The following is a 26,945-nucleotide window of genomic DNA, read 5'->3' as shown; positions in this document are numbered from 1 at the left end:
GATGCATCGTGACCTGGTCTGTAGTTGGTGGTCTGTGAAATTGTTTGTGTTCAACCGGAGAAGCAAATAGTCTGAGTCAGGTCGGCTCTCAGCGGAGAGCAGTCAGGGGCTATTTTGTTTTGTTTTGTTTTGTTTTTCAGAGACGAATTGTGTAGCAATTAATTGACCATTAGAAATAAGTTTTGGTGTTATTTCTATCATTTTATTTTGTGATGATTTCTACTTTAAAAAAACTTTTTATTTTGAAAAATTTCAAACATACACAAGAGGTGAAAGAAGGTATATGCCACCCAGCTTAAAATTACCAACATTCTATTTTCAAAATACTCTCCAACATTTTTTGTTGTTATTTTAAAGCAAACCCTAGACATCATATTGTTTCACAATAAACTCTGTAACACATAAGAACCCCAAATTACCCAAATCAATACTGCTAACCTACCCAAAGAAAAACCCATTACTTAATATCTTGTTCAATTGTCCTCAATGGTACTGATATTATCCTTTTACAATTGGTTTGTTCCGACAAAGATACAAGCAAGGTACAAACATTGCATTTGGTTACTGTGTCTCTTAAATCTCTTTAAATTTATAGCAGTTCCCTGAATCCTCTCTCTTTTATGCAATTTATTTTTGAAGGTCTGTAAGTTATTTTCCCTATAGAATTCCCCTGATTCCATATTTAGCTGATTGTATTCTTGTGGTGTTAACATGGTCCTTTATCTCATACACCTGTACTTCTTGAAAACTGGTATTTAAATCTAGAGACTCCATTAGATTCATTAGGTTGAAGTTTAATTTTTTTTTGAACAGGAATAATTCATAGCTTGTATATCATAACAGGAGATATGTATTTTTTGATTGTCAAAGTTGTGATCGATGGATTACTAGTCTGATTCGTCCATTATAAATTTTCCAATTAGTCTTTAGTGGTTTTAGCAATGATGGCCATTGCTAGATATATTGTTTTTTGAAGGTTGCAAAATAGTAATTTCTAATGTTATCATCCCTTCTGCATTTATTAGTTGTGATTATTCTATAAAAATTTTTCCTCATCAACTTTTTTATTACCCCAAAAAACAGTCCACAGAAAAGGCAGGATAAATACTTAATTCTTTTTCTTTATCAATTTTTCAAATAAGTTGTTTCCCTGGAAACCTCTAAGGTAATCAATGAGTTTTTTGTTTTACATTTTTTGGTTAATCATTGTATATTCATGAATTTAAAAATGTTTTATGTGTTTTGATCCATTCCAGTTATTATTATCATTCTTGCATTGTCCCATCTTTGGTCAATGAGATCCTCTTTAGTAACATTCTGATTATTGATATGGTCACATCAATTTTTGGTATTTTGTTGTGGCTATTTCAGATAGGACAGGATGTTGCAGGCTCATTTTATGCATTTCCTGCCCCAGACCTAGAACCAGCTCTGGTTACTTTCAGTAGGAAAAGGTACTTAAGACCACAGTCTGGGTACTAGAGGTGATCACTATTTTTAGGCTGTCAATGTCCCTTTTTAGAGGACAGAACTAAGAGATAATACCTAACTGAGAGAAGAAATCAGTATCAATAACATATTAAAAACACTATTAATCAATTTAAAAAAGCATAAGCAAGCCAAGAGAACATGGAGAAAAGATGTAAATAGGTATTTCACAGATGAGAAATCCTACAGTATAAACATTTGAAAAGACATTCAACCTCATTAGTAACCAGGAGAATACAATGGGATACCATTTCATACTCCTCAGACTGACAACAGTTATGGAACCTGACAGCATGGGCAAGGATGTGGAGCATAGGCAGCTCTTATACATTTGCAGGGGGAGTATAAATTACCACAATCACGGAAGAAGCATTTGTCCTTATTGAGTCAATATGATACGTATATGTACCTTGAGACCAACTCCTATATTCCAAGCCAAATAAACCAGGCACCCATTCACCTGGAGATCTGTGTAATAATGCTTATTGCAGCATTGCTTACAGTAGCAAATACTATATTAGAAACAACCCAAATACCTATCAGAAAGAGAATGGATGAAAAAAATCATAAAAACAGAGCAGTGAAAACGAATTAAAAAAATAGAGCTATAGTATTAGCCTGGATGAATCTCATAGACAAAGTGCTCAGTGGAAAAACCAAAATGTAGAATGTAGCACACAGAATGATACTACGTTTTAAATTTAGGACCACACACACACATATGCACACATGTGAATAATAACCCCCAAATTCAGAATAGAAGTTACCCCTGGTGAAGAGAGACAGAGGATTTCAAGTGCGCTGGTAACATTTTATCTCTTAGCTGGGAGGTGGCTAAGTAGATATTCATTATTTTATTCTTCATATCTTTTTATGTTTCTAAATTTGCATATAATATGTATTTTTTTTTAAAATGGGAGAGAACATTTGACTTGAATCAAAGGACGTGTTCAAATTCTTTCTCTGACATTTTCTAGTGGTGACTGCTGGCGAGTTACTTCACTGCTCCAAATCTCACTCCCATCTGTGCAGTGATGACAACACCTATCACAGAGGAATGCTGGGAAGGTAAATCAGATAATATGCCTTCTGCTGAGTCTAAACACAAAGTCTCAACCCAGTGCTTGAATATTTCATTTGCTTTTTGTAGAAAGGAAGAGCTTCAAAGTAGACCAAATCCTGAGGAAAACTTTAGGGCAAAAGAGTTCCTGGAGAAGCAGGAACTAGGTCTTGGGAAAGGTAGTGCATCTGACCAAGGATCTGTAGTGTAACCTCCTCCTGCCCAAATCTCTCCTCTCTCTTATGAAGTTGTCAGGAACCGGAAAAAGCAGGTAGAGAAAACAGGAAAAGGGGACTGGTCAGAGCCCTGGGGAACATCCACACATGAAGGGACATTTAAGGCAGAAAATAACAGCCCTTGGAGACAATCTTGTTTTGCTTAGAAATCTTATGTTGCAGAAACCGTTAGAGGATACCATTCCTCTTTCTCTGGAAACTGCTTACCACATCTAGCTCTCAACAGCCATCCATGCCTGTATGAATCAGACTATACCCCCTTCTTCTGGCTATTGCTCACGAATCTAGGGGTGATCACTTGAACCCACTTTGCCAATTAGAATCCTACTTTCAAAAGTTGAAATGTGACCTTGCTGTTTTCTTGGCGAGGTTCTAGAGAGAAGGCTCTAAAGTTCTCAATGCCAAGGAGTTGGCTGCCCTAGTTCCTACTCAGCCTGAGTCATGCTCACCTCTTCTCTGGATTCCATGAGATATCCCACTATCTCAGTAACCTTTCAATAAGTTTATTTATTTTTATTGTTGCTTAAAATATAAAATAAGTGTGTTTATGTGTTTAGCAATCTAAACAAATACAAGAAAATTAGCAACAAGCAAGAGAAAATATGAGGGTAAGAGAAGTGGAGAACAGAAGTAGGAGGCCCAGAGCAGAGAACAGAGACATAATGATAAGCAAAGAAGCAATAAAATGAGGTCTCACTAGGCTGACAAAAGACATATTTTTCTCATTAAAGAGTTCCCCAAAATGACAAACCAAATGAATAAAGAAAATTATTTCATCTAGACACATCCTGGTAGATTTTCATAATACCGAGGATCAAGAGAAAATCCTATAAGCTGCCACAGACAGAGAGGAAGCAAAATATTATTAAACCTCCAAAATGTATTAAGCCATGATCAGTTTTATCATTAGCAAAATGCACACTAGAATACAATGAAGTGAGGCCTTCAAAGTCAGGTGAGAAAATCATTTTAAACCTATAATTCCACCCTCTACAAATTATCAATCAAGTATGATGACTCAGTAAAGACAGAATATTTATAAACTTGAATGGGAAAAAAATTGCTCAAGGAAGTATTCCAACAAAATTAAAATGAAACATAAGAAAGACGCAAAACTGAAATACAAAAAACAGTGGCAGCTGAATCTACTCTAGAACAGTGGTCCTGAAATCTGAGTGTGCATCAGAATCACCTGGAAGTTTGTTTCAAAAAAGCCTCTTGTTGCTGTGCTCTAGCTCCAAAGTTCTGATTAAGTAGGTCTGAGGTGGGGCTTTATAATTTGCATTTCCAACAAGTTGTCAGGTGATGCTAATGCTGTTGGTTCAGGGTTCACGCTCTCAGAACCACGGTCTCAAAGTGGACCAGTATCGATTTGCACCACCTTGGCGGATGTCAGAAATGCATAATTTCAGGCCCCACCCCAGACCTGCAGATCATAATATGTAGTTTAATAAATATCTCCGGGTGATTCACAGCACACAGTAGTTAGAAAAATAATGGTTCTGGCCGGGCGCGGTGGCTCACGCCTGTAATCCCAGCACTTTGGGAGGCCAAAGCGGGTGGATCACGAGGTCAGGAGTTCAAGACCAGACCAGCCTGGCCAAGATGGTGAAACCCCCATCTCCGCTAAAAATACAAAAATTAGCCGGGTGTGGTGGTGGGCACCTGTAATCCCAGCTATTCAGGAGGCTGAGGCAGAGAACTGCTTGAACCCGGGAGGCAGAGGTTGCAGTGAGCCGAGATTGAGCCACTGCATCCTGGGCAATAGAGCGAGACTCCGTCTCAAAATAAAAAATAAAAAAAGAGAAAAATAATGGTTCTAGAAGAAGTAAAGAAAGTGGAAAGAAAACACAGTCCACTAACCCTGAAGCTTAGGATGTTTACTTTGAATGGCAGGGGTTTGTGATATATGTATTGATCTTTCTCTGTGGGGCCAATTATTCTATTAAATTCCACTATGAACAATCTTTGATATTATAAGCACTGTATAAGGGATTTACATTTTTATGTTCAGCCCCCAGACAAAGCAGTGAAGACATAATTTAGTTATAGAATAAAATACAAATTTTATAAAACTTGACATGGTAAAAGTGAGGTTGAAATAGAAAGTCCAACTTCATTAGACACACAAAGTTGTGTCTAATAAAATCCTCATCTATTTAATATGTTGGCAGATAGTGTCCAAAGTGGGTACATAAAAATATAGAAACAAATGTATGTTTTTACAGTTTAAATAGCAACCACCAGAAAAAATAAAGCCAAACAAGGATCCCTGCAAATCCATGAGTTTTTTTTTTAGGGGATCTGTGAGGCCAAAGTGTTTTCATAATAATACTAAGGTGTTATATGCCTTTTTCATTCTCACTCTCTCATGAGAGTATAGAGTACGAAAAGATGTGTATATGGTTTAAGTTTTAACATAGCAAATAACCTTTAAGAAACTAACATTTGTCAAGTTTTGGTGTAGTTCAAAGAAGAGTATAAACAATTAACTGAAAAAGTTATTTAAAAAAATTCCTCTTTTCAGAGTCCATATCTGTGTGAGGTTAGATTTTCTTCAAATGTTCAACCAAAAAAACATATCCCAACAGACTGAATGTAGAAGCAAATCAGAGAATCTGGCTGTCTTCTATTATGCCAAATATTAGCATAATAGCAATATCTTGAAAATATTAGAGATTTTCAAAAATATAAAATAGTGGGACAATGTTTTTTGTTTGGAAGTTTTGTTTTACAAAAACATGTTTAAGTTAACATATAATGGGCTTACTGTTATTTTTTTAACAAATAAATATATAAAACATATTTTACTTAATTTTTTCTAACATGGTAAATATCAACATACGTAACCCATATGAACAAAAGCTCTTTGGAAGTCTCAATAATTTTTAAGAGTGTAAAGGGGTCCCATGACCAAAAAGTTTGAGAACCACTGTATTGAAAAACCTTACCATGAATTCTCACCTCCCACATATTTCATGTTCAATACACCATTCTCTAAATTGCCAATTTCCTACTCTAAGCTTAGTCCTTGTTCTTCGGTTTCCCTGCTATTCTATCTTGTACCTCATCTCGTTTCTTTCTTCTTACTGACATGTACAGATTTTTATTTTTTTCACCATTTGACAAATCATCCCCTGGCCTTGATTCTTATCCAGACTACCCAGACCACCACGTGTTGACTCTTCTCCCTTGCTCTATTTATTCCACTTTAACCATTATTTACCCCATTTCTTTTCTCTTGCTTGTCATCACTCCATTCTTGCCTTATTTTGTTATGTCATGTTGCAAATAGAGAAAGACACATAAAACACTTAATGTTAATATTCAGATGCAAGAACTGTACCTTGTAGTCCAAACCATCTGAACAGTTAAAGACCACACACTGGATGGCAAGAGCTTTTGCCAGATCTTTGGTAGTCTCTGTTTTCCCAGTGCCAGCAGGACCAGCTGGTGCACCCCCAAGGTCAAGCTGCAAAGCTCCCATGAGGCAAAGATAGCAGCGATCCTGAAGAAAGCAATGCATTATCAATATGAAGGGAACCAACTCTGGCCACAAATTAAGGCATTTCCTCTCTATGGGGGAAGGATTATTATTTTCTATGAAAAATATAGCAATTGAAATACACCAAAAGATCCATGCACATAATTAAATAATGCAAATATTTGCTTTACAAAGATGTATTCATAATAAATTCTTTCAAGAGTTAATGTCATATGAAACTTTTCAAGACTTTTGATTGAAAAGCACTCTTGTGTCAATATTAACCCAAGTGATCAATAACTTACTGTGAGTGGAGTAATAACCAATCTTGGGCATGCACCCAAATATTCATAGCCATAAGTGTACTGAGAGAGCGCCATTCTAGCCACACAATTATCCAGGTCTATATCCCAGTAATAGCGCAGTTGTCTCTGCCAGTCAAAAGATTCAACTGTCTCCACCTATATGTGATATACATATTAGATACACTAATTTCAGAAAGAAGTATATAATTTTACTTAAATGAAACAGTTACCTTGGATTGAACAAGTTCAGTGACTATATCTCTTGCATGCACATCAATAGTAATCAATGCAGTTAGGATGTTTCTGTGTAATTTAGGAAGACTGCCTTGAACTATTGCAGCTAGGGCATTTAATCTCTACAAATAAAAAAAATTGTCATGGTGAATTTTCCAATATCAGCTTACATATATACATTATCTCTTTCACCATTCAATTTGGAGAGACATTGCTAAAAACCAGCTAATTTTAAGAATCTATAATTTTGTGACCAAACAGGACAATACTTTTATTTAATTCTCATAAGACTTCTGTGAAATATATACTGTCTTTACCCCTATTGTACATTTGAGGAAACTGAAGGTCAGAGAGCATAAGTAACTTGATGGCAGTCACAGAGTTATGAAGCAGCAAAAATGAGACCTGAGTAGACATTTGCCTCGAGGAAAGCCCACGTTCTTAACCACTATGTGATGATTCTCTAGAGGAGAGTGTCCTCCCTAAAAATTAAATGTGGTTAAAGGTGATACTCTTCAGTTTTAGGGGTGGTTTTCCCATTAATATTCAGAAAATCTGAGCATTTTAAGCTAGCCAATGACTGGTTAAATGAAAACATTTTCAGAAAGAGTTAGCTAAATTTTTACTTGAGTTTTACCTTAATAATTAAATCTTTTTCAAGGAAGAGCAGCGCCTCTGAGGACCTTGCACCATTGTGCTGAAATGTCACTTGGGCCAACCCTGATGAGGGACCACCTCTACACAGAGGCAAAGGAACTTTTTTTAGGGAGTCATTCCTCTTTTCTGAAGCTATGGAGATGAAGTTTCTTTGAGGAATTTCATGAGAGTGTTTTCTCTTACTTCAATAAAGTTGTTTTATTTGATAAATAAATATTGAAAATTTACATATAAATATATATAAAGTTGTTGTATTTCAATAAAGTTGTTTTATTCAATAAGGTTGTTTTATTTTTCTGTTTTAAGGGTGACTCTTTAAAAATGTAGTATTGCTTGGAAGTAGAATTGAATTTGGAGTCAAAAGAGTCGGCCTAGGTCCTTACAAGATATACCGTTTGTAAATATTTTCCTTTATTCCCCAGATTGCCTTTTCACTCTGTTGATTGTTTCCTTGCTGTGCAAAAGCTTTTAAGTTTGATGCAATCCCATTGATCTATTTTTCCTTTTGTTGCTTGTGCTTTTGGTGTTATATCCAAGAAATCAATGCCAACGCCATTGTCAAAGCTTTTCCCCTATGCCTTCTTCTAGGGATTTTACAGTTTCAGGTCTTACATTTAAATCCTTAATCCATTTTGAGTTGATTTTTGTGTATGGTGTAAGACAAGGGTCTAATTGCTCCTACAACTTATGAGCAAAAACCAAATAACCCAATTAAAACTTGAGTAAGGGAAGAGAATAGACATTTATCAGAAAAAGACATATAAAGGGCTAACCGGATATATGAAAAAATGATCAACATCACTAATCATAAGGGAAATGCAAATCAAAAACATAATGAGATGTCACCTCATAACTGTTAGGGTGACTGTTATCAAAAAAACAAAAGATAACCCATGTTGGCAAGGGCGTGGAGAAAAGAGAACCCTGGTATTCTGCCAGTGGGAATATAAACATGGTACAGGCATTATGGAAAACAATATGCCGGCTCCTCAAAAAATTAAAAATGGAACTACCATATGACCCAGTAATCCCACTCTGGTACACATCCAAAAGAAGTGAAGTCAGGATCCGGAGGAGACTATCTGCACTCCTATGTTCATTGCAGCATTATTCACAATAGCCAAAATGTGGAAATAACACAAGTGTCCATCAATGGATGAACGGATAAAGAGAATGTGAGTTGGGCATGATTATCACGCCTGTAATCCAGCACTTTGGGAGGCCAAGGCAGGAGGATTGCTTGAGGGAAGCTTTTGAGACCAGCCTGAGCAATACAGTGAGACCCTGTCTCTACAAAAAATAATAATAATAAAAATAATTAGCTGTGTGCTATGATCGCATCCCTGCACTCCAGCCTGGGCAACAGAGTGAGATCCTGTCTCTTAAAAAAGAAAAAAATAAAAGAAAATGTGGTATACACATACAATGAAATATTTATTATTCAGACTTAAAAAAAGGAAATCCCATAACATGTGGTAGCATGAATAAACCTGGAGGATATTAAGCTAAATGAAATGAGTCAGTCATAGAAGGATAATCCTGCATGATCTATTTATATGACGTATCTAAAATAGTTAAATTCATAGAAAAAGAGTGGTGATTACAGGGAGCTAGGGAGAGGAGGAAATGTGGAGTTGCTGTTCAACAAGTATAAAGTTTTAGTGCTATTTAAATGCTATTTAGCAAAATAGCATTTCCCAGCTATAGCTAAAAGTTCCTGATGGTATTTAAATTCATTGAATTATTTATTGTTTTATTGTTAATTGCCTGACAGTTTTACAAAACAGCAGAAATAGAATTAGAGCCTAGAAATAGTAATGGCATGAATCTGGAGGTTTTCCTGGACTGAATAAACTTCCCTGAGAGGTATCCAGGAACTAGTGAATACAGTTTGTCCTTAAAAGTTGCAAACAATTATAACCCTGGTGTTTTGTTCTGGAATTGTTTTTCCTCCTATTTTCACAAGTATTCACATAAATACTACACAAAAAGTAAGATAGTGTCTCTAAAAAATGTAAAACAAATAATTTTAGAATTGTAAAGCTTTGTAAGAGCTATTACAAATGTCAGAGCATTAGAATTTCTGAAATAAAGTGAATTTGCATTAACTGTGCTTTAAAAAAAAACCCACCAAGACCATCTTGCAGGACAACAATGTCACTTTGTTACAGATCTCACCTCAAAATTTACTTTTTCAAAATTCTTCAGGGCCTGTATATGATTACTGTGTTCTGTTTCCAGACATTCAGTCAAATCACGGCACCACATAATTTGAGAAACAGTCAGGATAACCTGCAAGAAAACATGTTTCTTAAATATGTGATGCATATCACCAAATAAGAATTCAGGGATATGAAATGTGAGTGTGAGTTACTTGAGAAGGGTGGCCAGCAACCACCCAGTCTGTCCTCAGTTTCCCCTGATAGTCAGCGATGGCAGCTTTGCACAGGCGACGCAGAGATGTGAACATGGCTTCTTCCACTTTACCAAGCCATTCCTCTACATTGCCTCGGGCCTTGAGGCCTTTCCCCAAGCTAACCTAAAAGGTAATCAGAGCATTGATAAAGTGGCTTGTGTGGGACTTGTAAGCTGTATGCCTTCTGTATTTCCATTACAGAATCCTAAGCTACATAAACGCTGAAGCCTGACCACAAATACTGAAACTTCTATTGACATTCCACTATGCATCTATCTCCTTTCACCCCACCTATTGCTTTATTTTACTGCTTCCACTTGGAGTCAACTCCCTGAAAGAGGAGTCTATATGCACTGCATGGATTTCTCCACTTATTTTCACTTTCCTACTTGCTGCTATCTGATTTTTGTCCCTGATCACTTCTATTCTCAAGTTTTCCCATGTCCTCCCAACTGAAAAGTCCAAATGACACTTCAGTTCTTGTATCTATTTTTTTGGACTTCCAATGGCTTGACTGTCATGGCTGTTTTGGCTTCCTTCATCTGCTCTTCTTCTAACTTCTCTTTAAATTTCATGTTTTCCCAAGATTCTATCCTTGGTCTTCCCCCTTCTCTTCTGCACCAGTGATGAGCAAATTCTTTTGCAAGAGGATCAATTCAGAACAAATAAAATGTTTATATGTTCCCATAGATACACCACTGTGTTCTTACTGGACCCAATTCCTTAGCATTTCCCTACACAGTTCCTGTGTGTGAAACGTCTCCCATGCCCACATAGAAGATACTCTCCCTTCCATCATACTTGACTTTGTGTGTGTGTGCATATGTGTGGCTCTCCTCTGTGAAGTCACTTGGTTCCTCACAGTATGCTAATATATTCACTCTCTTGGTGTTCCCCATATGCCAGGGGCTGTGCAGTGCCCTGGAGATGCTGCTGCCAGCAACTAACACTTAAATAGTGCTCACAGGGTACTGCTTTAAGTAATTTACATACACTATCCCCTGAACGAGCTCATCATTCCATTAATCAGATACAATTACTAATCCCCATCTTTTGGCTGAGATTAAGGGATGGGACTTAGTCCAAGTGGCCTGATAGTAGAACCAGTACTCTTAACCAGTCCACTAGCGTGCCTCTTGTGGAGAGTTAAATAAGACATGGTTCTAGTTTTATACACTCTATTTCCGGCAACAGAACACATGTTTTTGTTGTTGCATTTTCTGTGGTGATTTTCAGTTGTTTGTTCCACTACTTCTCTGTTAGACTTTGAGCTCTTTGAGGGCAAGAATTTTATCTTGGTTATCCTTGAAACTGCTGAGCCAACAGAGTACCTGTATGCTTAGAGTGAGAATAACCCTAGAGGAGTAGCAAAGTTCATCAATAAAGAAATATAAATAAAAGCACCTCACCCTTTCTCCCTCTGGTGACAGCATTGCTAAAATATCATTAGTATAAACCTTTTCTGGTTCTCCATCAATACCAGGAATCTTTCCTTCGGCAGGAGGCATGAGAGCAAATTCGAGCTTTGAAATGGAGTCGAAGCATTTCCTTAAGTGTGGCTGCACGGCCTGTGGATTTCGTGTCTGGGCCAAAATCTCCAGAAGTTCATCATTTGACAAGAAGTAAAACCTGGATTAAAGAACATCCTTAAAATATAACTTGAAATGGAAGTAAAGTCTTAGACAGACATAAAAGATAAATTCCTTAGCCACATCTCTTCCCTGTCCACCAATTTCCTGGACCTCCAATTATACTGGTCATGGGTTTCTGGGGAAGCCACATATCTCTAAACATGATTTCTGTGAAAATTAGTGATGACGCATTTAGGTGTGATGATGCACACCTAGAATTAGTGTCTAGTACATAAAAGATAGATATTGTTCATAAAATTGTAAAAATGCTAGAAACTGATGTGTTCACATATCTGTCTTACCTGGCTTTAAGCCTCCAGAGTGAAGATGTATTATTTGTTTTCCCTAAAATGTAGCCTAGTATGTCACACATACCTGGTATTCAATACATTATTTGCTGAAGAGTTAACAGATGGATGGGTGGTTGCAGGAGAACCTTATTGGGTTGTGTGAATGTGTACTGGGCCATTCTCTTAACCCAAAGGCATTTGCTATTCCCTGCAGCATGTGCTACTGTGAAAATTGGCATAATGTAATTTTGCCAGCACACCATTTCCAACCATGTGAGGCTATACCTATGTAGAAATAAAACATTTATATATATTCCATATTATTACCAGCAAGATAGGTAAAGGAAATTGTAAACTTAAAGAAGATTATTTTGCTATAGATTGGGGTTGGCAAGTTACAGCCCCAGGCCAAATCTGGCCCACCACCTGTTTTTGTAAATAACGTTTCATTGTCACACAGCCATGCAGACGTACTGTCTGTGGCTCCCTTTGTGTTCCAATAGCGGACCTGACTACAGAGAATGTAAAGCCTACAAAGCCTTGAGTATCTACTATGTGACCTTTTATGAAAAAAAATTGTTTGTCCCTGCTCTAGATAACCAAAAATATTCTAAATGCCAGACTTCATGTAATATAGTTCTTGTATTATGTTTAATCTCTCCAAATCACTCAAAAGGAATTTGATTTATTATCCCAACTGACTATCCTAGTTCATACTAGAATAGGTTACAGCAATTAACTATTAACATTTAAGACAGTGATTTTCAAACTTTTTTTTTTTTTTCCAATCACGGGTCCTTTTTACTGCTGTTCCTATCCCCAACTCTCTCATGTTCTGGAGGACTAAATGTATAAACCAGCATTTAGTGAATGCTCTAGATTGTTGATTGTCAACTTAGCAATATCCCTGCATCAGGGAAAAGCTGGAATGACATTTCTAGAATCTCTTTCCAGTAAGGTTTCAGATTAAATGCTGCCTATGAGATGCTCTTCTATGTGACTGAGAAGGTGGGAGGAAGCAAAGCCATTATTCCCCAACTTGAGCATGGATGACTGAAGCTGGTGGGATTTTATCCTTGGTTTTCAGGTGTCCTCCTGACAATCCCTCCCTTTCTTGTTGCAGGAAGCCGAGACTTTGGTGGCACTTCCCTGAGACCTCTGCCTGTATTTCCAGATTTCCTCAAAGTGGTCCTCAGTTCTTCCCTTCTTCTGCCTCTAGCACCAGTGAAAACTTCTAATTCCCTGCATGAAACTTGCTCTAAACACTTAGAGTGGCTTCTGTGTTTTTGACCAAATCTTTCCCAAGTAATATAACTAGATGTTAAAATTTCAGTTTCAGTTCTGGCTGAAGTTCTAGGACTAGAGTTGTCACATTTCAAAATGAGATGTCAGGTCACCTGGGGCTGACTCATGGGGAGATAGGTGAAGACTCTAGAGTCCTCACTCACTTGAGGGTATGAAAGTGTTAAAGCTGGAGAGGCTGGACAGCTAGAGATAGGAAGATTTTTTGGTAGAGAGATGTACTAAAGGTGCTCGCTATGCCCACGAGAAAGGGTGGGGTTCACTCTCCTCAAGACTAGGCATCTTGGAGAGCTTAACATGCATCCCCACCAATTAATCTAAAGAAAATTGCTCAGGCAACACCGGTCTCTCTTAACTTTTTACACACATGTTTGTGCACATATACACACACACACAGGCACACATATTCATTCAACAATAAAACAGTAAAACAATGGGGTGATCAAGAATCATTTCAATTTGTGGGATCTAAAAATCAAAACAATTGAACTCATGGAGATAGAGAGGAGAAGGATGGTTACCAGAGGCTGGGAAGGGTAGTGGAAGGGTTGGGGCTGGGGAGGTGGGGATATTTAATGGGTACAAAAAATAGGAAGAATGAATAAGACTTAGTATTTGATAGTACAACAGGGTGACTATAGTCAATAATAATTTAATTTAATAATCAATAATAATGATAATTTAATAGTAATAATTTAATTGTGCATTTAAAAATAACTAAAAGAGTATAACTGGATTGTTTGTAACACAAAGGATAAATGCTTGAGGGGATGGATACCCCATTTTACATGATGTGATTATTATGCATTACACGCCTATGTCAAAACATGTTATGTACCCCATAACACACCTACAATATACTGACAAAAATTAAAATAAAAAAAATTGTTTCAGCATCTTACTTACCCACTTAACTATTTATTGAATATTGTATTTTATCCTTGAGACTTATACTCCTCAATTACGATAACTAGTTGGATTTTCATTATCGTAGATCTTTTTTGTTTCTCTCTCTAGTTCCTTCATGCTTTGAGGTTATAATTATAACCTCAACTTGATTGACAGTCATAACTACTAAAAAATATCTTAGGTTGCTTTATAAACTTACCTTGGAAAGATAACTCTTTTTGATTCTAAGTATGCCTCTAGGCACTTCTGAATTTGGTCAAGTAATGCATTATTGTTTTGAAAAGTTTCCAGAAGTCCTGTTCATTAAAAAAAAATAGTATTGGTAAAACTGTGTTAAAATCAAATTTTTTTCTGAAAAAATATCACTTTAAAATGTAATCAATTTATGAATCTTCTCCCTAGAAAACTATTTAATAAAACTCTTATAAAAATATGCTTTGAATTATCCAAACCTAAAGTTAAAATGAGTCATGGAATTGTAATGGCAATAGAAAAATTACAATCACATTATCAGCAAAAGCTGACAGTTTGACTCCCTCTTTACCAATCTGGATGTCCAGACAGTAACTGCTGTCTTCAAGAGACTCACCTAACACATAAGGAATCACATAAACTTAAGGTAAAGGGGTGGAAAAAGATATTCCATGCAAATGGACACCAAAAGTGGGCAGGAGTAGCTATTCTTATTTAAGACAAAACAAATTTTATAGCAACAACAGTTAAAAAAGACAAAGAAGGATATTATATAAGGATAAAAGGACTTTTCCAACAAGAAAATATCACAGTTCTAAATATGTATGCACCTAACACTGGAGCTCCCAAATTTATAAATTTATAAAACAATTACTACCAGACCTTAGAAATGAGATAGACAACAACACAATAATAGTGGGGGACTTCAATACTCCACTGACAGCACTAGACAGGTCATCAAGGCCGAAAGTCAACAAAGAAACAACTTAAACTATACCCTAGAACAAATGGACTCAACAGATATTTACAGAACATTCTATCCAACAAATGAAGAATATACATTCTATTCATCAGCACAGAATATTCTCCAAAATAGACCACATGATAAGACACAAAACAAGTCCCAATAAATTTAAGAAAATCAAAATTATATCAAGTACTCTCTCAGACCACAGTGGAATAAAATTGGAAATCAACTCCAAAAGGAATCCTCAAAACCATACAAATACATAGAAATTAAATAACCCTAAAGACTTATCCAAAAAGCTCCTAGACCTGATCAATGAATTCAGCAAAGTTTCAGGATACAAAATTAATGTACTCAAATCAGTAGCTCTGCTATACACTAACAGTGACCAAGCTGAAAGTCAAATCAAGAACTCAACCCCTTTTACAATAGCTGCAAGAAAATACAATAGCTGCAAAAAAAAAATACTTAGAAATATACTTAACCAAGGAGGTAAAAGACCTCTACAAAGAAAACTACAAAACACTGCTGAAAGAAATCATACAACACAAACAAATGGAAACACATCCTATGTTCATGAATGGGTAGAATCAATATTGTGAAAATGACCATACTGCCATAAGCAATCTATAAACTCAATGCAATTGTCATAAAAATAACACCATAATTCTTCACAGAGTTAGAAAAATATAATTCTAAATTTCATATGGAACCAAAAAAAGAGCCCACATAGCCAAAGCATGACTAAGCAAAAAGAACAAATCTGGAGGCATCACATTACCTGACTTTAAACTATACTACAAGGCCATAGTCACCAAAACAGCATGGTACTGGTATAAAAATAGGCATATAGACCAATGGAACAGAATAGAGAACCTGGAAATAAAGCAAAATACTTATAGCCAACTGATCTTTGACAAAGCAAACAAAAACATAAAGTGGGAAAAGGATACCCTATTCAACAAATGGTGCTGGGATAACTGGCAAGCCACATGTAGAAGAATGAAACTGGATCCTCATCTCTCACCTAAAAATCAAATCAAGATAGATCAAAGACTTAAATCTAAGACCTGAAACCATAACAATTCTGGAAGATAATATTGGAAAAACACCTCTTGACATTGGCTTACGCAAGAACTTCATGACCAAAACCCAAAGGCAAATGCGACCAAAACTCAAAAGCAAATGCAACAAAAGAAAGATAAATAGATGGGACTTAAACTTAAAAGCTTCTGCACAGCAAAAGAAACAGCAAGCAGAGTAAACAGACAACTCACAGAGTGGGAAAAAATCTTCAGAATCTGTACATCTGGCAAAGGACTAATAGCCAGAATCTGCAAGGAACTCAAATCAGCAAGAAAAAAACAAACAATCCCTTCAAAAAGTGAGCTAAGGACATGAATAGACAATTCTCAAAAGAAGGTATACAAATGGGCTATAAACATGAAAAATGCTCAACATCACTAATGATCAGGGAAATGCAAATCAAAACCACAATGCGATACCACCCTACCCCTGCAAGAATGGCTATAATAAAAAAAATAATAGATGTTGGTGTGGATGTGGTGGAAAGGGAACACTTTTCCACTGCTGGTGGGAATGTAAACTAAGACAGCCACTATGGAAAACAGTGTGGAGAATCCTTAAAGAACTAAAAAATTGATCTACCATTTGATCCAGCAATCCCATTACTGGGTATCTACCCAGAAGAAAAGAAGTCATTATATAAAAAAGATTCTTGCACACGTAGTTTATAACAGCACAATTTGCAATTGCAAAAATATGGAACCAGCCCCAATGCACATCAATCAATGAGTGGATAAAGAAAATGTGTGTAGATATACCATGGTATACTACCTCAGCCATAAAACGGAATGAAATAATGGCATTTGCAGCAACCTGAATTGATTTGGAGACCATTATTCCAAGTGAAGTAACTCAGGAATGGAAAACCAAGCATCATATGTTCTCACTCATAAGTGGGAGCTAAGGTATGAGGACACAAAAGTGTAAGAATGATACAATGGACTTAGGCAAGTGGGGGAAAGGATGGGAGGGAGCTGAGGGATAAAAAGATAAAAGACTACGCATTGGGTACAGTACACTGTGCGGGTGGTGGGTGCACCAAAATCTCAGAAATCACCACTAAAGAACTTATTCATAGAACCATACACCACCTGTTTCCCCCAAACCTATTGAAATAAAAATAAATAAATAAATAAATAAATAAAATGGAATGGCAGTGGTATGGTCTTTTCAATAAAAAGTACTAAGTTAACTGAAAAATAACGAGATAATTTAAAGTAAAAGTAAAATATACTGTTAAGATTTTAAAAGCTTTGGCATTATTTGATAAAGGAATGCTCTATTACATTAAAATGGGGGGAATTGACTAAGAATTTTAACTATTACCTTTAATAATAATATTAAGTATTTACCAAGTATGAACAAGTATATTTGATATGAAACATATTTAGCTGGTGTATCCCACTTTTGAGGGGCTAGGAGTACAAAACCAAAGCCAAGCAGTTGCCTTCTCCTTGACTCTCCAAACCAAGCCAGTCTCTATACCTACTCATTGTCACTTTCTTACTGGTATCTTTTCTGTATCCTCTGCCATCTTTAAATGCCAAAATTGTGGTGATGGGATACTATTTCTTTATCACTAAACTACAGCTCCTTAAGGGATAAGATCCATGTCTTGATTATCTTTGTAGTTTTGGTGCTTATCATAGCAGCTGGTGTCCCCACCTGCCCAAGAATCAAATCCGCAGTCTTGATCATGGTTTCCAAGGCTCTATGTAATCAAGGACCCAGTCTGATGCCCAGTCCCCACCTAAGCACTCTTGCCTCTCTTGCTTCACCTCCTAAGCCCTTCTTCTGCATTCCACTTCAGCTCGCATTGGCTTCCTTGCAAACAATTGGGCATGTGAAGCATGCACTCACCTTGGGAGCCTTGCCTTTGATCTTCCCTCCTCCTTTAACAATGCTCCCTTTGATCACATACATGACTCATTCCCTCATTCCTGCAGGTTTCTGCTCAAAAGCCACTTTATCAAAAAAGCCTTCTGTCACAGACACACACACACACACACACTCTCTCTCTCTCTCACCAATTTACCCTACTTTATTTTTCTTCATAGCTTTATTATCCCCTGAAATGATCTATATAAGTCTCTATTCTTATCTTACATCCTTAGGAGCAGATGTATTTTTGAATCAGATTTTTTTTTCATTTCAGAAGTTATATTTTATAACAAGTCTAGTAGGGACTGGGACAGCACTCTGTAATCTAACATACTAGTTTTCCCAGCACAATGTTTCAACATGACAAGTGAGTGCAGTAGACAGAATAATGGCCCCCTAGAGATGTTCATGTCCTAATCCCCCAAACCTGTGGATATGTTAGTATACATGGAAAGGAACTTTGCAGGTGTGATTAAGTTAAGGATCATGGATGGAGAGACTGTCCTGGATTGTCTGGTGGACTGATCGATCATACATGGGCCATTATAAGCAGGAGGCGGGAAGGTCAGAGGCTGATAAGGAGATGTGATGACAGAAACAGAGGTCGGTGTCCTGAGGTTACAGGCTGGAAGAAGGCCATGAGCCAAGGAATGTGGGCTGCCTCGAAAAGACCCAAAGAATTTTCAATTCTATTATTCCATGTAACATTTCTTTTCCATTTCTGTCTTATGTCAGAGTTTTTGGGCAAAGAGTGCAGCCCAGCAAACTTCAGGGAAGCTGTCTGAGGATATTTACCAGGATGGGCCATGTGCTGCTGTTTCCTGAACAACAGGCAAGCTTGCCAAGGCTTTTACTTTAAGCATGAAGTTCAACAGCCACATATATGCACCCTGAAAGACTTTGATTCCACATCCACAGAAATGGAACTTATTCAAACACATTTCAACCTAGAGACTAGAAATGTAATAAGTGGTAATATTTTTACTAGTTTTAATGAATTCATTAAAAATAAGGTGTGGACATTTTTGTGGCTATAAATCTGTGGAGGAGCTTTAACTGAATACATCAACCGAAGGCAAATATTTGTCTCGTTGTCAAAATTCTGAGATGAAAACATTGCTGATACACGGAAGCAACATCCCCCAATCATAAAAACAGCAAAAATAGGCAGATTCTCCTTTTCCGAAACTACAAACTAAGCTGAGAGATAATAATAATAAAAAAAAGTCCAGTGTTCCGTTGACATTGCTTAGCAAGTGTGTCAAATGCAAGGATTCCTAGTCATCCATGCTGACTAGAATCAAGGGTTGAATGGACCATATGTTATTAGATTCCCAGAGAAACATTTTAGTCTGGGACTAAAGTCCCAGACTACTAAAAGATTGTAGTCTTTTTGCTTGTTTGGAATTTTGTTTCATACCTGGCTGAGTAGCGGCTCGAAGAGCATTAGGCAGCCGATTCACCTTTCTCATGATTTCTTTCCATGACTTATCCACCTGAAGGAACATCTTGGCCTCTGCAGGCAATTGCCTCTGAATGTCTGGAGCATTGAAAATACTTTCTAGGTAGAGCCAGTTTCTCTGGCAGGTCAGCCACTCTTCCTAGGAGAAAAATATGGACACTGTCAAATTTTAATTCCCCAATTAAAAACATATGGTTACAGTAAAAATCATGACACAGGGAATCACTGTATCTTTTTCCTTGAGGGTGGTGTTATGACTCCTCACAGGTCCTTTGAAATTAAATTCCTTACAAGGTCCAAGATTCACCTTAGTCTGATTTCATCCCACTGTCTACTGAGCAGAGTTCTAATGGGTCTTCCATATGGTTACCAGAATGGATCCAGAGAAACATGATTAAAATACCCACAGGAGAGATTCAGGGGGCAGCACGATGCCTACTCAAGGAAATCTGAAGGGAAGAGGAAAGTTCAGTGACCATTTTCAAACATACACAAGATTTCCACGAAAAAAAAGTTTGTTTCTTTTATCTCAACCATGTGTTCATTTTTCATTCACCTTTCTTTAAAAAAGAAAATTTTTTTAAAAAACCCTGCTCATGTCAGCATATGTAGTAAATATAGAAGACTGGAAGAAGAAAATCATGCATTCCCTCTGCTTTTAGACAATCACTGTTAATAAAATAAATCAGAAATACACGGTCAGAAATTAAATGTCTATAGACCTCACCTTTCCTCCATGCCTCCTGCTATTACTGCATGTGTGTGCCCAAAATCCATGAAAGAGTTCCTCACTTCCCACTCTAGGTTTGGGAGTAAGCCCAAATGTTACAACCACTTCCTGGTTTGTCTCAGGTCTCACACTTTCCAAGCAATTCATTCTCTGGGGGTTCCTCACTAATCAGCTCAGGCTTCTTTCAGGTACCCTGTATGAAAACGTCCCCCTTGACTTTGATCTGTAGTCCCTCCCTTCACAGGGCTCAATCATCAGTCCAGAAGGCTGGACAGGACTCAGACAATGTGGTTTGTTGAAGAAGATGAATTTCTGAGAAAGTTCTCTTTGAAACAAAGTTGGCACAGGTTATCTTTTCCCTCTTACTGCCTGTATTATTTCATAGATAACTTATCATATTAGCATGTCTAGAAATGTAAACATAATTAAGTCAAGCTAAATATCTGAAGTCTAAGAAAGAGATTGGATGGGAACAAAATGAGATTAGTGTAAGTGGGTTCTTTGTTTTGCTATGGGACAATCAAAGGTGGAATAAAATCAAAAGAACATGTGCACCACAAGGAAAGATTCCAAGGAGACTTCAAGCAACAATGAGCATTCTTCCAGTAAATATAGTCGTTGTAGCAAGACTCATAAGGTGGCCCCCAAGATGTGGCATTCACATCCCTGTGTAATCCTCTCCCCTTGAGTGTGGGTGCCATCTGTGACTTGCTCCCAGGTGCTATGGGATGTGGCAAAGGTAACAGAATGTACATAATTATGTTTATGTTATATAAGACTGTAATAGTCATCTTGCTAGGATCCTTTTTCTTCCTTGCTAGATTGATGCAGCCAATGGTCATGTTGGGGAAGCCCACACATAAAGAAAAAGCTGTTGGCAACATCTAGGAGCTGAGGATGGCCTCTAGCTGAGTGCCAGCAAGAGATTGAAGCCCTTAGCCCAAGAATTCCAAGAAAATAATTTCTGCCAACAACTGGAGTGAGCTTGGAAGTGGATCATTCCCCAGCTAAACTTCTGATGAGAACCCAGTCTGGCTGACATCTTGATTGCAACCTTGTGAGACCCTGAGCAAGAGGCCTCAGTTAAACCATGCCTGAACTCCTGAGCCACAGAAACTGTGAGATAATAAAGGTATATTGTTTAAGTTTGTAGTATTTGTTTCACAGCAAAATAATAATATGGGCATGCTTTGTTTTATTGTGCTTCATTTATTCCATTTTGCAGATATTGCATTTTTCACAAATTGAAGTTTTGTGGCAACCCTGCATCAAGAAAGTTAATTCATGCCATTTTTCCAACAGCATGTGCTCACTTTGTCTCTGGGTCAAAATTATTACAATTACCAATTGTCTTTGGTAATTCTTGCAATATTAAAAATATTATTATTAAACATTATTATTATTATTATTATATCTGTTATGGTGATCTGTGATCAGTGATCTTTGATGTTGTGATTATAATTGTTTGGGGTGCCATGAACCATGCTTATATAAGATGGCAAACTTAATTGATAAGTATTATGTCTATTCGTTCTTTCTGCTCCACTGACTGGCTGTTCCCCTGTTCCCCATCTCATTTCTTCTCCTCCGTGCCCCCTGTTATTCCCTGAGACACAACAATATTGAAATTAGGCCAATTAATAACACTACAATGGCCTTTAAGTGTTCAAGTGAAAGGAAGAGTCACATGTCTCTCAATTTAAATTAAAAGTTAGAAATGATTAAACTTAGTTAAGAAGGCATGTCAAAAGCCAATATAGGTCAAAAGCTTAGCCTCTTGCACCAAACAATTAAGACAGCTGTGAATGCAAAGGAAAAGTTCTTGAAGGAAATTAAAAATGCAACTTCAGTGTAGACACAAATGATAAAAGCCAAAACCCTATTTCTGATATAGAGAAAGTTTGAATGGTTTGAATAGAAGATCAAACCAACCATAACATTCCCTTAAGCCAAAGCCTAGTCTGAGGCAAGACCCTAACTCTTTTCAATTTTAAAAAGGCTAAGAGAGGTGAGGAAGCTGTGGAAGTAAAGTTTGAAGGTAGCAGAGGTTGATTCGTGAGACTGAAAGAAGCTATCACTGTAACATAAAAGGGCAAGGTGAAGTAGCAAGTGCTGATGAAGCTGCAGCAAGTTATCCAGATGATTTAGCTAAGATCATTGATGAAGGTGGCTACTCTCAACAACAGATTTTCAATGAAGACAAAATAGCCTTCTATTAGAAGAAGATGCCATGTAGGACTTTTATAGCTAATGAAGATTAGCCAATGCCTGGCTTCAAAGATTCAAAGGACAGGCTGACTCATGTTAGGGATAAATGCAGCTGGTGACTTTGAGTTAGAACCAATGCTCATTTACCATTCAAAAAATCTCAAGGCCCTTAAGAATTATGCCAAATCTACTCTGACTGTGCTCTAAAAATGAAACAACAAAGCCTGTGTGACAGCACATCTGTTTACAGCATGATTTACTGATTATTTTAAGCCTACTGTTGAGACCTACTGCTTAGAAGAAAAGGCTTCTTTCAAAATATTACTGCTCATTGACAATGGACCTGGTAACCCAAGAGCTCTTATGGAGATGTACAAGGAGTTTAATGTTGCTTTCATGCCTGCTAACACAACATCCGTTCTGCAGCCCATGGATTAAGGAGTACTTTCAACTTGAAAGTCTTATTATTTAAGAAATACATTTTGTAAGGCTATATCTGCCATAGATAGTAATTCCTCTGATGGATCCGGGAAAAGTGAATTTAAAAACCCTCTAGAAAGGACTCATTATTCTAGATGCCATTGAAAATATTTGGAGTTTGGAAGAAGTTGACTCCAACCCTTATAGATGACTTTGAGAGATTCAAGACTTCAGTGGAGGAAATAACTGCAGATATGGTGGAAATAGCAAGAGAACTAGAATTAGAAGTGGAGCCTGAAGAGGCGACTGAATTGCTGCAATCTCATGATAAAACTTGAATAGATAAGGACTTGCTTCTTATGGATGAGCAAAGAAAGTGGTTTCTTGAGATGGAATCTATTCCTGGTGAAAATGCTATAAACATTGTTGAAATGACAACAAAGGATTTAGGATATTACATAAACATAGTTGATAAAGCAGAAGTAGGGCTTGAGAACATTGACTCCAATTTTGAAAGAAGTTCTGTCATGGGGAAAATGCTATAAAATATTGCATGCTACAAAGATTTTTTTTAAATAAAAGGAAGAGTCGATGAATGTGGCAAACTTCATTGTTGTCTTGTTTTAGGAAATTGCCACAGCACCCCCAACCTTCAGCAGCCACCCATCAACACTGAGGCAAGATCTTCCACCAGCCAAAAGATGATGAGTCACTGAAGGCTCAGATAATAGTTAGCAATTTTTAGCAATATAGTATTGCACACTTAATGGACTACAGTACACTATAAACATAACTTTTAAAAAATAATTTCAACTTATATTTTAGATTCAGGGGTTACATGTGCAGGTTTTTTAAATGGGTATGCTGTGTAATGCTGAGGTTTGAGGTATGAATGATCTTGTCATTCAGAGAGTGAGCATAGTATCCAATAGGTAGTTTTTCCACCCTTGCACCCTTCCTCTCTCCCCTCTTTAGTAGTCTCCAGTGTCTATTATGTCTATCTTTATGTCCATGTGTTCCTAATTCAACATAACTTTTATATGTTCTTGGAAACCAAAAAATTCATGTGGCTTTCTTTATTGCAACATTTGGGTTATCATGGTGGTTTGGAACCAAATCTACAATATCATTGAAGTATACCTATGCAAGGGTGATGGTAATAGCATTAAGCTGTATAATTATATAAAGAAGAGCTTAATACCTGTGCATTTCCCTTACATTCTAAACACAATAACATGTCCACAATTAAAACTTACATTTTAAAACCATATAATATTTAAATAATGAAACAAATAATTTCTAAGGTCCTTGTGACTCTCCAATTCTCTGAGTGTATGAATCAAAATTATTCTTACTCACCAGTGTTTGATTAAATAAAGCAAGTTGTTTTTGCCATTCATCCACTCGAGTTTTCAGTGGACCAAGGTAACGTGATGAGGCAAGAGTTGCAACATTGATGGTGCTATCATCAAGAAGGACCTTTAAAGGAAGGGGAAGAAAATACATGCAGCACCCAGTATTTGTGCTTTCAGTAATATTTCAGATACATAATCCCAAGTGTCTACTTAAAAGTCAACTCTTTGAATTAATAGCTTAGCCCCTCTTACTGTTTCCTACTCATCAATTTCCCTTCATTATTCACATCCTTGTGGCACCATGATGTTCTTTCAAAGGTCACCTAGGACTTCTGATTGCCAAATTTCTGCTGATCCTGTAATTAATAATGGCACAAGTTTTTGTTTGGTTTGACACTCTTTTCCTCTCTCCCTTCACTATTAGGTAACTTTTACCTTCTTAACACAATTTGGTCACCTGGGCTTGCCTTTATTTCTCAAAATATCATATACTGGCAAAATTAGCTGTCTTCTGTCCAATGAATTATCACTTTCTCTCAATTATCTCAAGGAAGAGAGAATTGAACTCATTCATATCAAGCTCTGAATGGTTATACAGTTTCTCCTCCACCTCCCTCCCCTACTACTCCCCTTTATACAACAGCATCTCTCACGGAGCATGTGAATTTTTAAAAATGTGCTTGTTAATCTGAAAGATTTAATGGTCCATTTCAATTATAAGCTTTTTGAGAGTAGAACCCTCACCACATGACATCAATTGGCCTAAACTTACTGACCTCTTTGAGTCTGCTCTCCCATCCCCTGCGCAGAGTGATGTCTGGTCTTTCTCTTCCAACCTACACCTGGAAAAGCTATTTTATCTCTAATTCTGGCCTGGATACACCCTATTAGGCCAGGGCTTTGCCTTTTAAGTTGGGCTATGTGACCCAGCTCCCTTTGCTAAACAAATGTGCCTTCAGATTTTAAATGAGAAAGACTATTCCAAACACATGAATTAGATTTATTTTCTTTTGTGGTTGACAGAGCGTGGCCATTGTTTCCTAATTCCAATAAACTCAAGTGAATTTAGCCTTTTCGTGTGCTATAAACAGGAAATGCTCATTCAGGTTTCTTTGCCTTGTTTACAGGGTTTGAAGTGCCCTTTATTTTTTTTTCTAAGTCTTTCAAATCCCATCTAATATTTAAGATCCAGCTTGTTATGACTGGTCTAGGGAAAATGCTCTGATCACTTCAGCTGTAACTGTTCTCTTTGTTTTTCTAAATTCCTCAATAGTTACCAACTACAGGTTGCAACTCTTACATATATATGAAATTTTTAATGCTTTGTTAAATATTTCACGTACAAGCATTCACGTCAATTATTTGCATTCATTTTGCTTTCCCAATTAGATTTTTCTTATTAAGTGACTCTCATGTTTTATTCCCTCATCATAATCTCTCACAGAAGATTTAAGACTAGGTGTGGCTGGGATCTTTACCATAAGTTTTCAATAACCCAGTTACCCACCTGTATGTCATCTGTGCCGCCCAGTATAAACACATCTTTGGAGTCACGGTGAGGCAGAATGACAAATTCAGTTGTTTTCCAAGAGTCCTCCACCTTAGAAATAATTCAAGCCTTAGGATATCTAAATTCAGTGTGTTTAGATACTCAATAAATGCACGTGAAATGAAATAAATAAAAACTCCATAATTATCCCATTTTCCTCCTTATTGCTCTCTAAAATTCTTTTTTTTTTTTTTTTTTGAGATAGAGTCTCACTCTGTCACCCAGGCTGGAGTGCGGTGGTGTAACCTCGGCTCACTGCAAGCTCCACCTCCTGGGTTCACGCCATTCTCCTGCCTCAGCCTCCCGAGTAGCTGGGACTACAGGCACTTGCCACCACGCCTGGCTAATTTTTTTTTTTTGTATTTTTAATAGAGATAGGGTTTCACCATGCTAGCCAGGATAGTCTTGATCTCCTGACCTCGTGATCTGTCTGCCTTGGCCTCCCAAAGTGCTGGGATTACAGGCATGAGCCACCACGCCTGGCCTGCCCTTTAAAATTCTTAAAATCTTCTTCTTGGATAGATGACACTAATTTGCTTAATTTTATTTGATTGACATTAACACATATACTTTGACAGAAAAAGAATTCCTTTTATGCAGAGGGTTAGTAGGTGTGTATATATTTTTGGGGTAAGGAGATAGTATCATAACTAGGAAAATCTTAATGTCTTTTGAAGCATTTAACAGATTTCTCTGGTAGCTTGGAAGATAACGTATTTGGGTTTAAAAGATCATTCTTGGTATATGATTTCTTATATAAGCATGCACATTTCAAACCTTGTGGCCATCAAGTTCCTATGTGTTATAGGATAAGCAGAAGGAGGAGATTTTTAGAGGTGATAACAGTAATATCTGTTGTAAGGAAACAACAGAGGGATGACTGATAATGAGAGAGTGAAAGCTGCAACGTTGAAAAAAACATCCAGATCACCAAATGTTGAATCTGAAAACTTTCACATTCCCTAATGGTATATAGATAAATATATATTCCAGATTTACCTTTTTAAGAATTGCTTCTAAGGCAGCTTCTCCAGAAGCCTGTCCAGATATGTCCTGGATTTCTTGACCAAAGTCAAAAACATGCAACTGGGAGAGCCTCTCCAAGGTTAATGGAATTTCAGCATCCACTAGAGTGGCATCAACTGTTTGTTCAATAGCTGCCCAATGTCTTGCCTTCAAAGTCGGGTTCCTCAAGTCAATGATAACTGGAAGCTGAAAAACAAACACTCTCAGAGACATGAAGCTTTTTATCTTAAAAATATAACCCACAGGTTCTGGTTTCAATTTGTGCATGTAGAGAGC

At 37.0% G+C, this 26,945-nt stretch overlaps 1 protein-coding gene across 14 annotated transcripts in view; it reads right to left on the bottom strand.

Moving 5' to 3' along the window:
* The window catches only part of DNAH6 (dynein axonemal heavy chain 6), a 360,018-nt gene that overhangs the window by 188,396 nt on the left and 144,677 nt on the right, over nucleotides 1-26,945 (bottom strand). For 12 of the 14 annotated variants that reach the window (XM_011532650.4, XM_011532649.3, XM_006711956.3 and 9 more), the window contains 11 exons: nucleotides 26,643-26,855; nucleotides 25,602-25,694; nucleotides 24,099-24,218; nucleotides 19,340-19,520; nucleotides 14,212-14,308; nucleotides 11,290-11,509; nucleotides 9,839-10,003; nucleotides 9,643-9,756; nucleotides 6,804-6,929; nucleotides 6,574-6,729; nucleotides 6,131-6,292 (listed from right to left, as the gene is read on the bottom strand). In XM_011532650.4, coding sequence (XP_011530952.1) covers nucleotides 6,131-6,292; nucleotides 6,574-6,729; nucleotides 6,804-6,929; nucleotides 9,643-9,756; nucleotides 9,839-10,003; nucleotides 11,290-11,509; nucleotides 14,212-14,308; nucleotides 19,340-19,520; nucleotides 24,099-24,218; nucleotides 25,602-25,694; nucleotides 26,643-26,855 — 1,647 coding nt within the window. The remainder of the gene's footprint in view (nucleotides 1-6,130; nucleotides 6,293-6,573; nucleotides 6,730-6,803; nucleotides 6,930-9,642; nucleotides 9,757-9,838; nucleotides 10,004-11,289; nucleotides 11,510-14,211; nucleotides 14,309-19,339; nucleotides 19,521-24,098; nucleotides 24,219-25,601; nucleotides 25,695-26,642; nucleotides 26,856-26,945) is intronic. The other 2 variants (XM_011532652.2, XM_017003521.2) reach the window with 1 other exon arrangement.

Source organism: Homo sapiens, chromosome 2, assembly GCF_000001405.40.
Source record: "Homo sapiens chromosome 2, GRCh38.p14 Primary Assembly".
In the NCBI taxonomy this organism is placed as follows: Eukaryota; Metazoa; Chordata; class Mammalia; order Primates; family Hominidae; genus Homo; species Homo sapiens.
This window is presented reverse-complemented; position numbering and strand designations above follow the sequence as displayed.